Source organism: Homo sapiens, chromosome X (genome assembly GCF_000001405.40).
Source record: "Homo sapiens chromosome X, GRCh38.p14 Primary Assembly".
Lineage (NCBI taxonomy): Eukaryota > Metazoa > Chordata > Mammalia > Primates > Hominidae > Homo > Homo sapiens.
Window position 1 is genome coordinate 46,536,476 of NC_000023.11, and position 12,602 is coordinate 46,549,077.

The following is a 12,602-nucleotide window of genomic DNA, read 5'->3' on the forward strand; positions in this document are numbered from 1 at the left end:
GCTACTCAGGAGGATGAGGCAGGAGAATCGCTTGAACCTAGGAGGCAGAGGTTGCAGTGAGCTGAGATCGTGCCATTGCACTCCAGCCTGGCAACAGCAAGACTCCGTCTCAAAAAAAAAAAAAAAAAAAAGTTAGACGGGCATGGTGGTTTGTGCCTGTAGTCCCAGCTACTCAGGAAGCTAAAGTGGAAGAACTGCATGAGCCCAGGAGGCTGAGGTTGCAGTGAACCAAAATCATGCCACTGCACTTCAGCCTGGGCAACAGAGTGAGACTCTGTCTCAAAAAAAAGGAAAAAGAAAAAAATAAAAGAAAAAGAAAGAAAACCCAAATGTCCTGTGTTCCTGGGAACCCCAAAATGGTAGAACAACAGCTGTATTACCAGGTGACATTGCTTATGAGAAAAATGACCCCTGATTGGTAAATAATCTGCATGTGGACTAGGACTAGAGCGTAGTTAAATAAATTGCTCCATCTATACTCTGGAACTGTCATGATAAAAATTGACTCACACAGGACGGGTGTGGTGGCTCACGCCTGTAATCCTAGGACTTTGGGAGGCCGAGGCAGGTGGATCAACTGAGGTCAGGAGTTTGAGACCAGCCTGGCCAACATGGCAAAACCCCATCTCTACTAAAAATACAAAAATTAGCTGGGCCTGGTGGCGTGAGCCTGTAATCCCAGCTACTCAGGAGGCTGAGAAAGGAGAATCTCTTGAACTCGGGAGGTGGAGGTTGCAGTGATCCGAGATCGCACCACTGTACTCCAGCCTGTAGAGCAAGATTCTGTCTCAAAAAAAAAATTGACTCACACATAAGGATGCCTGGGATACTTTTGTCTAAATGAAAAAAAAAAAAGCAAATTTCAGAAAAGCACAGTAGGAGCATATTTTCATTAAAAACAACCCATGCAAAATGTTGTGGTTTTGTATATATATAAAACAAAAAAATTCTGAAAGGCAAACAGTAGAAGGGCTGAGACTGGGTTCATTTGTTGGAATGCAACAGAAAGGGAGGAATGAAAATTGGCCCTGTTTTCCTGGCTTGAAAACTGGAAAAAGTAAATATCCTTTCAAATGGCATCATATTTTTTTCTTATAAATTGCCTGCCTTATCTTTTTGACTCCTTTCTACCACATTTTTTTGTTTTTTAATCATTGTTCATATTACATACATAAATCCTCTGTGTATTATATGCATTGCAGGTATTTTCTCTCAGCTTCAAATATGTCTTCTGACTCTACAGGTTTTAACATTTTAATACAGTCTAATCTGACAATATTTCCCTTTATGATTTCTGGGTTTTCCATCTTCATTAAAAATGTTTCTTGCAGGGCCAGGCGTGGTGGCTCACGCCTGTAATCCCAGCACTTTGGGAGATTGAGGCAGGCAGTTCAGTTGAGGTCAGGAATTCAAGATCGGCCTGGCCAGCAGGGTGAAACCCCGTCTCTACTAAAAATACAAAAATTAGCCAGGTATGGTGGCACATACCTGTAGTCTGAGCTACCTGGGTGGCTGAGGTGGGAGAACTGCTTGAACCCGGGAGGCGGAGGTTGCAGTGAGCCGAGATCGTGCCACTGCACTCCAGCCTGGGCCACAGAGGGAGACTCCATCTCAAAAAAAAAAAAAAGTTTCTTGCACTGCATAAAGTTATCCATATATCCTCCTAAATTTTTACCCAATTTTTCAAATATATATTTAGGTCTACAACCAATCTAGAATTCACTTTTATATGATATAGAAGAGTCTTTGTTTCCATACAGATACTCAACTGTGCCACCATCATTCAGTAACCACTTTTTCCACATAACTGAAATACCATTTTTATAATCTTGACTCACAGAATCCTATATAAGCAATAAAAGAAATCTAGAAGTCACAAAAGATTGTGAAATTAGACCACATTAACAAAATGTAAGTGTCCACTCCCCAAAATTAATAAGACAAGTCAAAGCAAATGAAGTATGAAAAAATATTTGCAACATATATGATAGAGATCTTATTTACTTGAGTTAACATAAAGGGCTACCATCCAGCAATCAAATTAATTCCACACCCAAGAGAAAAGGAGGCAAATGACTAGAATAAATAATTGAAATAAGGAAGTACAAATGATGGTTAAAAAAAATGAAAAGAAGACTGGGCACAGTGGCTCACACCTGTAATCTCACCATACTGGAAGGCGAGGGTAGGAGAATTGCTTGAATTCAGGCATTGGAGAACAACCTGGCCAACACAGTAAGACTCCAGCTCTACAAAAAATTGAAAAATTAGCCAGGTGTGGTGGCATGTACCTGTATTCCTGGCTACTTGGGAGGCTGAGGTGGAAGGACTGCTTGAGCCTGGGAGGTTGAGGCTGCAGTGAGCCATGATCACACCACTGCACTCCAGCCTGGGCAACACAGCAAGACTCTGTCTCAAAAAACAAATAGCCCAGTGCAATGGCTCCCACCTGTAATCCCAGCACTTTGGGAGACCAAGACAGGTAGATCACTTGAGCTCAGGAGTTAGAGACCAGCCTGGGCAACATGGCAAAATCCTATCTCTACAAAAAATACAAAAATTAGCCAGGTGTGGTGGCACACGCCTGTGGTCCCAGCTATTCAGGAGGCTGAGGCAGGAGGATCACCTGAGCCTAGGAGGTCGAAGCTGCAGTGAGCTGTGATCGTGCCACCATACTGTAGCCTGGGTGACAGACTGAGACCCTGTCTCCAAAAAACAAACAAACAAAAAATATGAAAAGACACTAATTTCAGGAAATGTGAATTAAAATGCACCATTCTTATATGCTGCATCATGGCAAAAATCAAAGCATTGGATAATGCACTGTGATTGCCCACTTACGTGAAAAGGCATATACTGCCGCTAGGAGTACACATCAGTATATTCTATTTGGAGGGCAAATTGACAGTTCTGAATCAAAATTCATGATGCACATGAATCTGACCTAGAAATCTCACATCTGACATACTCACATGCAGGCAACGGAATGTACTGTACATTGCTATGCTGTTTATAGCAGCAAAAGACTAGAAATGTCCTAAATGTTCATCACTAGGAGAAAGGTAAATGAATATTGGTGTTCCCATGCAATGAAATACCAAGCAGTTGCTTTTGCAAACAAGGTAGACCACTGGTTTTAAACATTGGATAATTCTCTCCCCTAGGGGATATTTGGCAATGACTACAGATACTTTGGTTGCCAAAACTTGGGGAGGGATTCTACTGGCACCTAGTAGAGATAGAGGCCAGGGACCCTGCTACACATACAATGCACAAGAAAGCAGCCACAACAAATAATGATCAGAACCATAATGACAATAGTGCCGCAGTAAGAAACCCTAGGGACAACTAAATACAAGTAAAGTGGAATGATCATGAAGACAAGACCAGAAGGACCAGAATGAGCTCTAATTTGTTAGAGAAAAAGCGTGTCAGAGTGAGAACTAGCACACACAGGAGTGAGCAGACAAAGAGATTCATACATCCTGGCCGGGTGCGGGGGCTCACGCCTGTAATCCCAGCACTCTGGGAGGCCGAGGAGGGCGGATCACGAGGTCAGGAGATCGAGACCATCCTGGATAACATGGTGAAACCCCGTCTCTACTAAAAATACAAAAAATTAGCCGGGCGTGGTTGCAGGCGCCTGTAGTCCCAGCTACTCGGGAGGCTGAGGCAGGAGAATGGCGGGAACCCAGGAGGCGGAGCTCGCAGTGAGCCGAGATTTTGCCACTGCACTCCAGCCTGGGCGACAGAGCGAGACTCTGTCTCAAAAAAAAAAAAAGAAAGATTCATACATCCAGACAGATAAGCATACATATTCTCTGAAAGACTGTACCAAAAAATGAAGGAATCTTGAGGATGGGAGAATTATTTTTTGCCTTTTCTTGAACAAAACTTTCATTTGAATTTTTACTATGTGTATGCATTACTTTTAAATGTTCAATTTTTTAATGCTCTATTCAGAATACTTTTACATTTTGACATCCATGTTCTTAAGGGAAACTGGTCTATAATTTTCTTTTTTGTAGTATCCTCTTCAAATTTCAGGTTAAGTGGCTTCACAAAATGAACTGGGTACCTTTTCATCTTTAATAGCCTGGAAAAATGGAACGCAGAAATTATCTAGTCTTTACATTTAGTGAAAGGAGTAATTATGAAGGATTTCGGAGGGCAAATTTAAGTCTCACTACCTTTTAGTCAAAACCCGACTTCCAGGTATAACCTCCATAAACACTGGTACTACAGAGCAAGTAGATACAGAGAAAATTGTTCATGAGGTACTGTATACAATAGTAAAAAAAAATTAGGCCAGGTGCAGTGGCTCATGCCTGTAATCCCAGCACTTTGGGAGGACGAGGTGGGTAGATCACCTGAGGTCAGGAGTTCGAGACCAGCCTGGCCAACATGGTAAAGCCCCGTCTCTACTAAAAATACAAATATTAGCCGGGTGTGGTGGCACGTGCACGTAATCCCAGCTACTTGGAAGGCTGAGATAGGAGAATCGCTTGAACCTGGGAGGCAGAGGTTGCAGTGAGCCGAGATCACGCCACTGCACCGCAGCCTGGGCGACAAGAGCAAAACTCCATTTAAAAAAAAAAAAAAAAGGCCAGGCACGGTGGCTCACACCTGTAATCCCAGCACTTTGGGAGGCTGAGGTGGACAGATCACCTGAGGTCGGGAGTTCGAGACCAGCCTGACCAACATGGAGAAACCTCATCTCTAGTAAAAATACAAAATTGGCTGGGCATGGTGGCACATGCCTGTAATCCCAGGTACTCGGTTGGCTGAGGCAGGAAAATCGCTTGAACCTGGAAGGCGGAGGTTGCAGTGAGCCGATATCGCACCATTGCACTCTAGCCTGGGCAACAAGAGTGAAACTCCGTCACAAAAAAAAAAAAAAAAGAAAAAGAAATTAAAAACCTAAATATCTGTGAATAGAAAAATAGTTACATGATACATCCATACTATGAAATAGGAATTAAAACAATCTTTATATATTGACAAGGAACACCACCCAGGATATAATCAGGTTCAGAAAGCAAGATGGGTATGGGAATATGATGCCATTTGTGTAAAAGCATAAAAAAAATATATACGTGTACGTTTTTAGTTCATTAAACTGACATAAATGCATCTACCCCACAGTTTCACCCAACTGTTAACAGTGGACATCTCTAAGGAGGAACGTGGTACTGGGGGGAGAAGAAATAGAAACTTTATTGGCTACTAGTTTCTTCTATGTACATTAAAACATTATACACAAACTTATTCTCTTAAACACAGTAAAAAAGACCAAGCGATCTAGAAGTGAAGAAAGAGGAAAAAGCAAGGTGAATCTATGTATTTAAACAATTCTTCTCTGAGAAGAAGAAGAAAAGATGAGGTACAGTTTCTGGAAGAACAAGTAGAGAGAGGTATCTTTTTGTTTTTCCTCTCTCCTGGTGAGGGGAAGGATTAGAGAAACCAGAGGCTGAGGACAAGTTGAACAGAAAACAGCCAGAGAAGAGGGGATAATTGGTATTTTCAAGTTTATTATATAGATTCCAAACTTTGCCTCAATTTCACTGGAAAAAAAGTAGGGGTACATTAGAACTCACCTGGGACATGGCCATCTTGTTGTGCTCCTGCAAAGGATGGAGATCTACAAATACAGAATTAGAAGGGTTGAGTTCAGTGGGTATAGACATAAGATCATCATCACCACCCTAATAATAATTACCTTTGCACCCTGGGAAGAATCATCTAAAAATAAGGCCTGGTAGCTTCAGCCTATTCCATGGGACGCTACTAAGATCATGTGGGTTTTGCACATGAAACTTTGTCTCCCTTACTGGACAGATGTATGACTTGTGTCCAAAGCCATCTACATGTCAGAAACCAGTAACAACTTAACATCTCCTTTATCTCAAGAGTTCTATTCCTAGCACAAAGATGCAAAATGTTCACCATTGTCATTTCCACTATGAAAAATCTGCCTATAATCCCTGCATGCGGGGGGCGCTGAAGGAGGATTGATTGAGGCCAGGAGTTCAAGACCAGCCTAGACAATATAGCAAGGCCTTGTCTCTACAAAACCGAAAATTAAAAAAATTAGCTGGCGTGGTGGTGCATGCCTGTAGTCCCAGCTACTCAAAAGGCTGAGATGGGAGGGTCTCTTGAGCCCAGGAGTGCGAGGTTAGTGAGCCATGATCACGTCCCTGCACTCCAGCCTGTGTGACAACGTCAGAGCCTGGCTCAAAAATAAACAAAAAAATAAAAAAATCTTCGAAGCAACTAAATGTGCAGCAAAGGGGACTTAGTAAAAAAATATGACACGTGCAAAACAAGCATACTACACAGGCTTTAAAGATGGTTTCTGAACTTTGTTTTCAGTTCCTGGGTGTTTAAAGGGAGGTTCCAACAAAGCAACTGCAGTGTAATCTCATTTTTGTTAAGCAATATGTACAAATATGAAGTCTCAAACAGCATTTATTCTTTTTTTTGTTTTTTTTTGAGATGCAGTTTTGCTCTTGTTGCCCAGGCTGGAGTGCAGTGGCATGATCTCAGCTCACTGCAACCTCCACCTCCCGGGTTCAAGCGATTCTCCTGCCTCAGCATCCCAAGTAGCTGGAATTATAGGCATGCACCAACATGCCCAGCTAATTATTTTTGTATTTTTAGTAGAGACGGGGTTTCATCATGTTGGTCAGGCTGGCCTCAAACTCCTGACCTCAGGTGATCCATCCGCCTCAGCCTCCCAAAGTGCTGGGATTACAGGCATGAGCCACCGCGCCTGACCTCAAACAGCATTTATTCAAATGCTGACATTGGTTACATTGTTCGGTGATTTTAATTTTCTTGTTTATTTGCATTTTTGACAAGGAATATTAATTACTAATGAAACAAAAATTAAAATTTATTAAAAAATCACTTCTTATCAAACAGAGCCCTAGAGGTGAAAAGACACTCTCCAAGTGTGTATGAGTAAGATCTCTTCATGTGGTTTGGAGGAAGGAGCCCAACCAGGGCTCAAAGGGCCGCAGGGAAGGAGAGGTGTGGGGCTGGGTGGGTAACAGCCAAGCACTGTCAGTTCTGTGAGGGGCTGAAAACCACTGTGCCTGCTTCCCTGCATCCACCTCTCTAACTGGCCACCTACCCTGCTCCCACCCCACCACTTCCTCCTTTCCCATGATTTGCATTTTGATTGCCATGCTCCTCCTTCTTTGGCAGATTTTCAAAAGAAAGTTCCAGCAAGGAGATTCTGTGCAGAGTAACCATTTCATACTGCAGCAATCACTGTGATACCATCAGGACAACAGGGTTCAGCTCCGTGTAGCTTAGCAGGTCATGTCCCCTGGCCCACTTTCATTAAGCATTGAAATAAGGCAGCAGAGCTGGATGACAGCATACCTAGAGACTACTCTGAAATTCTATAAACTAAAAATATATTTTCTGCACTTTGGTCAGGATGAACGGACACTCAGCATTTCCCCTGGAAGCAGGTGCCTGGTTGATGGTGTGGGGCTGACTCAAATTCAGAAATAGCCAATGGCAAGAGAAGGAAGCATGGGGGTGCACAAATAGGTGTGCTAGGAGAGGCCAATCCTCTGTGGCTGGCTGTGATCCTTCCCAGCCTCATCCCGCCTTTGCAGGTACTACAGCAGGGCACCTGCCCCCATGGGGGACATCCATGCCTCCATCCACCTGTGACTTTCACCTGTCCCTCCTCCAGCAGGAATCAAACTGCACTGTCACATGGTCCTCCATGGCACCTGGAAGTAGAGCCAGCTTTGCTCTGTCTCAGCTGAAGTGAGGGACAAAGGCCACTACGGGTCCAGCTCTTCTAGGACCTGCTGTCCCGTGAGCCTCCTTTGCTCTGAGGATCTGGGTCTGGGCTCTTGCTGAGGCTTCTCCTCCAACTCGCCTCAGCTCAGCGTACCTCTCTTGTGTCCAAGGCGGCAGGACCAAGGGATTCAGAGACAAACACACCCCAGTTGGGGCCATCACTATAGCACTAGATCTCTGCCTGTGACCCAGGGAACTCACCTCTTCCTGGGGCCTCAGCCTAAGTCTTCTGCGACTAAGTGGGGAAGCCGAGGCACAGATAAACTGGAGTCTGAAATCGGTGAGCAGTGGTCTCAGGTCTGCACTCTGACCCTGGAAACACAATGACCACAGGAGATTCAATTAGCAACACCTATGCTCCCTTCCATGCAGTGAAGTTGAGTGAAACCCAAAGGTTTTTACCCAACAGAAGAGGGACAACCCCTCATTCTAGTTTTAAGAGTTAACATTCATGCACAGCTCAATTATCCTCAGTGAGCGAAACCCTGCCTTCCTGAGTCCGGGCTTTGGAATCAACTGACTGGCTGCTGTGCCACTTTTATTCACTGAAGAAATGATTGCCTTCCATGAGCCGGTTCTCCGTGTTGCAAATCCATCAGTGAACAAAATCTCAAATTCCCAGCTCCAGATTTCTAGTCTGGAGGAAGAGACACACTGGAAACAATAAACATGATAAACAAAGTACAGGAAAAGAAAAAGAAAAAGGATTCCTCGGGTTTGCTACCTACGGGACTTTGGACAGGTTGCCAAGCCACACTGTACCGTTTTCTCTCTATAACATGAAAATAATCATCGTAACACCTCACAGGGCTCCTGCTAATGTGAAACATTTGCAAGAGTGTCTGGCAGTTACCACCGGGTGAGGATACAAGCGCTGAGTGACTCAATCAATTAGTCACTCGCTGGCCCCGAACCTCGCCCCCAACACTCACGCCCACCGCCTGTGTCACTCAATCCCCACAAGGACGCTCACCCGTGGCCCCATGACCCCACGGCCCCGTAAACTCCCGTCATTCCTCCCGTCCCCCCTTCCCCCGATCAAAACCATCACCACCTCACCCTCCCGCTTACTTCACTGCCGACAGCCTGAAACCTCAGGGGCGGATGACAACAGCCAGTGTGAACGAAGCGCCACCCTCCGGGTCAGCCGAGCATTTCCGCTTCCCACAGCCCCCTGGGAACGTGAAGTCAAAGCAATGCGCACGCGCAGTGGCTTTGAAGGCGGGGCAACAAAGCCTGTGGCCGATGTGGCGCTCCTCGGCCCGCGCTTCAGTGGTTATGACAGTGTTCGCTCTAAGGGGAGAAGGAATGTGTGACCATTTCCAACGGTAAGTCGTACAAAAGGTCCGGGGAGGCGTACCTGGGCGGCGAGAGGCGAGAGAACTCCGCGCGGGCTTTCCAGTGCCCAGGCCCCTGCCGGCTCCGAAGCCGAAATCCCTTCTTCCACTTCGTTCTCTTGCAGTGGACGTGGGGTGTTCCCACCCCTCTGTCCCCAAGGCCACTGTTTCTGTCTTCCGCTCCTAGGAATAGGAAAAAGAGTCGCGCCTCTGGCATCTGTGGCAGCTCCAGAGCGCGGCCCTCTAGGGTCCAGGCAGGCCACATGGAGCGGGGCCCTAGGCCTGGCTCAGAGCGTCCTAAGAGCAACAGGTCTGGCTCAGTCGGGGAAGTGGCCTGGAAGAGGGGCTTTGGAGCCGGGCTTCAGAGCCAGCAACCTCCCGAAGTGAGGGAAGAAAGCCTCATTCTGATTGTTCTCTACCCAGTGGTGGGGCTCCGGTTCCTAGGATCTTAGACACCCTGGGAGAATCTGGATTTTACTTTTTAGCGGAGAGGTGTTTTCTCTGAGAATGCCAGCCAGTGGCAACATGGCCCGCTAAAAAGGCCTGTAGTAAACTTGAGGAAAGTTTTCTGTTTCCTGTCTGGGTCTGGGAGAAAGAGAACAAGTGTTGTTCTCCATGCTTACTATGCCTGCCTGGTCACCAAGCGGGCCTCTTTGGGTCAAGTATGACAGAGTCTCCCTCAGGTACACAGCAAACCCTTCTGTGCTAGAGCCAGCTGGTGCCAGACACTGTTCATAGATGTGTCCAAGACATTTGTGTAATCTATCAGACACGTATTTAATTTCCATTTGAACATGAGTGTTTTTCCTCTTTCTCTTTCTCCTCTCAGGTTAACTTGCATTCCCCAGATAGTTTGGATGAGTTACAACCTAAATCTGCAAACTCAATACAGCCAGACCCTGGGAAGTGACTCTCTCCAAGCCTCCTGTACAAGTCCCAGGAAAAGAGCCTGTTTTCCCTTGGACATGTGAGCAGTGAATTACTGCTCATTCAGAATTTCATGTGTATGTGTTACTGATGGCCAGGTTTAGAGATACCAACCTATTTATTTCTAGAGGAGAGGTGATTTGATAACCTTTTCAGATATCACTATCAGTAGGCAGAAAAGGGTTAATAGTATGATAGGGTTAATATGTCCTGAGGAGAGTAAAGAAATTGCAAACTGCAGAAGCACCTGATCTGTGGCCCTGGCCAGCATCTCTCCATATCCTGATTCTGTAAGATCAAGTGTTTATGCAGAAAGAGAAGGGACTGATGATTTGAATGTGACCAGATGCAGGGCATGCCCTTATTGCCATGCCAGCATTTGCTATTCATGATGTTAGTATTCAAAAATCAAGAAACACCCTTCCTGGGCCATTGGTGTCTACTAATCCATTGGAAGAAAAGACTGGAATCCACCACTTACTAGCTTCTTGGGCCTCAGTCCCCTCTTTTCTGCCATAGCTAAGGACCACCTAACCTAGATGGCTGTTGTTATTGTTCAAAGGGACATCTTTAGAGCCTCAAGCCCAGGAATAGCCCGTGGCAGGCACCTGGTAAATGTTAGTTTTCATTGTCCTATCCCAACACTATGAAACATGCAGCACTCTCTGCAACTGCCCCTGTGGATTTCCATAGGCAGGAGAGTATCCAGTGTTGAGTGGAGCTGGTATTCTCAGAAACGAAGCCCCTTTCCTCATTTTGCGCCAATCTCTTCAGTCATTTTTACCCTAGTAGTATAATGCTTTGTCAAAGTCACTGTCATCTGATGTTAACAGTTGTTTTCGCCAGATGACTTTTCAAAAGGTAACTTCACCATAATACCGGTTAATGTGATAAAAACACTGCATGTAGCCAATTTTTTTTTTTTTTGAGATGGAGTTATTGGCTCTTGTTGCCCAGGCTAGAGTGCAGCGGCGTGATCTTGGCTCACTGCAACCTCCATCTCGTGGGTTCAGGTAATTCTCCTGCCTCAGCCTCCCGAGTGGCTGGGATTACAGGCACACGCCACCATGCCCAGCTAATTTTTTTGTATTTTTAGTAGAGTCGGGGTTTCACTATATGTTGGCCAGGCTGGTCTCGAACTCCTGACCTCAGGTGATCCGCCTGCCTCAGCCTTCCAAAGTGCTGGGGTTACAGGTGTGAGCCACTGCACCCAGCCAAATATTTTCTTATTTATTTATTTATTTTAGAGACAGGATGCCATTATGTTGCCTAGTTTGGAATGCAGTGTCTATTTAGAGGCGTGATCATGGCATACTATAGCCTCGGCTCAAAGGACCCTGGTCTCAAAGGACCCTGCCACCTTAGCCTCCTGAGTAGCTGGGACAAGTGTGCGCCACCACACCTGGCTAATTTTTTAAATTTTTTGTAGAGATAGTGTCTCGCTATGTTGCCCACGCTGGTCTGGAATTCCTGGACTCAAGGCCTCTTCCTGCCCTCAGACTTCCAAAGTGTTAGGATTACAGGGTGAGTCACCACGCCCAGCCAGTGTGAATTTTCTAATGCTGAGTAAGTTGTGATCCAGAAGTAAATGTATCTGCAAGCTGATTTAAATTGTAGATTTTCTCTTCATTGCATATTTTCTGATGTTGAATAAAGTCTGAGTATTAACTAAAGTTTTTGCTTCTTAAATATGTAAGAATTGTCCTCAAAATCTCTATTCTTGAGCACAGTAGTAAAAATATTTTTACATACATTGTATTTCAAGGGTTCTGCATAAGCAACCTTGTTTTATTGTGACAATTTATTTGGGAATTGTATCAAATATATAATACTGAGATGTTCTCATTCCTTTTGTGAAAATACTTTTGTTTAAAAACCACTGCCTTCAAATGAAAACCACTAGGTTTGTTATGCTTGCCTCATCTTTTCTCGGTGTTTTTCTTTCATTTTTTAAAAATACATGTCTTTCTTTTTTATACCTAAAACAGTGGGTTTTTAAAATGTGATATGTGTATGCGTTGTATAATGGTTACCACAATCAACTAATACATCCATCACCATCCATACTGTACCTTAGATCTGCAGAACTTGTTCATCGTAGAATGTTTTTACCTTTTAGGTCAGACGTGGTGGCTCACGTCTGTAATCCTTGCACTTTGGGAGGCCAAGGTGGGTGGATTGCCAGAGCTCGGGAGTTCAAGACCATCCTGGGAAACATAGTGAAACCCTGTCTCTACTAAAAATACAAAAAATTACCCACGTGTGGTGGTGCGCACCTGTAGTCCCAGTTACTTGGGAGGCAGAGGCACGAGAATCATTTGAACCTGGGAGGCAGAGGTTGCAGTGAGCTGAGATCGTGCCGCTGCACTCCAGCCTGGGCGACAGAGCAAGACTCTGTCTCCAAAAAAAAAAAAGAGTGTTTTTATTTTTTGACCAACATCTCTCCATTTCCTGTCTCCCACTCCTGCATCCCCAGTCCTTGGTAACCACTGTTCTACTCTCTGTTTCTATGAG

General features: G+C 44.8%; 1 protein-coding gene and 1 long non-coding RNA gene across 5 annotated transcripts in view, besides 2 other annotated features; one reads left to right on the top strand and one right to left on the bottom strand.

Moving 5' to 3' along the window:
• Positions 1–8,946, bottom strand: part of ZNF674 (zinc finger protein 674) — a 47,697-nt gene extending 38,751 nt beyond the window's left edge. For all 4 annotated transcript variants that reach the window (NM_001146291.2, NM_001190417.2, XM_011543943.4 and 1 more), the window contains exons 1-3: positions 8,896–8,946; positions 8,026–8,136; positions 5,598–5,641 (exon numbers count right to left, since the gene is read on the bottom strand). In NM_001146291.2, the coding sequence (NP_001139763.1) occupies positions 5,598–5,612 (15 nt within the window). In that variant the 5' untranslated portion in view covers positions 5,613–5,641; positions 8,026–8,136; positions 8,896–8,946. The remainder of the gene's footprint in view (positions 1–5,597; positions 5,642–8,025; positions 8,137–8,895) is intronic.
• Positions 8,320–9,519: an enhancer, noted in NCBI's record as "BRD4-independent group 4 enhancer chrX:46404230-46405429 (GRCh37/hg19 assembly coordinates)". NCBI's record gives its function as "activates an origin of replication core promoter dependent on BRD2, P300/CBP, MED14 and CDK7 cofactors, and independent of BRD4, by STARR-seq in HCT116 cells {active_cell/tissue: HCT116}" and the evidence as "EXISTENCE:reporter gene assay evidence [ECO:0000049][PMID:35650434]".
• On the top strand, positions 9,015–12,000 carry ZNF674-AS1 (ZNF674 antisense RNA 1). The gene is made up of 2 exons (NR_015378.3): positions 9,015–9,152; positions 9,991–12,000. It is a non-coding gene; the product is annotated as a ZNF674 antisense RNA 1 (long non-coding RNA).
• Positions 9,135–9,284: an enhancer, noted in NCBI's record as "active region_29570". NCBI's record gives its function as "activates an Ori minimal core promoter by ATAC-STARR-seq in GM12878 lymphoblastoid cells {active_cell/tissue: GM12878}" and the evidence as "EXISTENCE:reporter gene assay evidence [ECO:0000049][PMID:35858748]".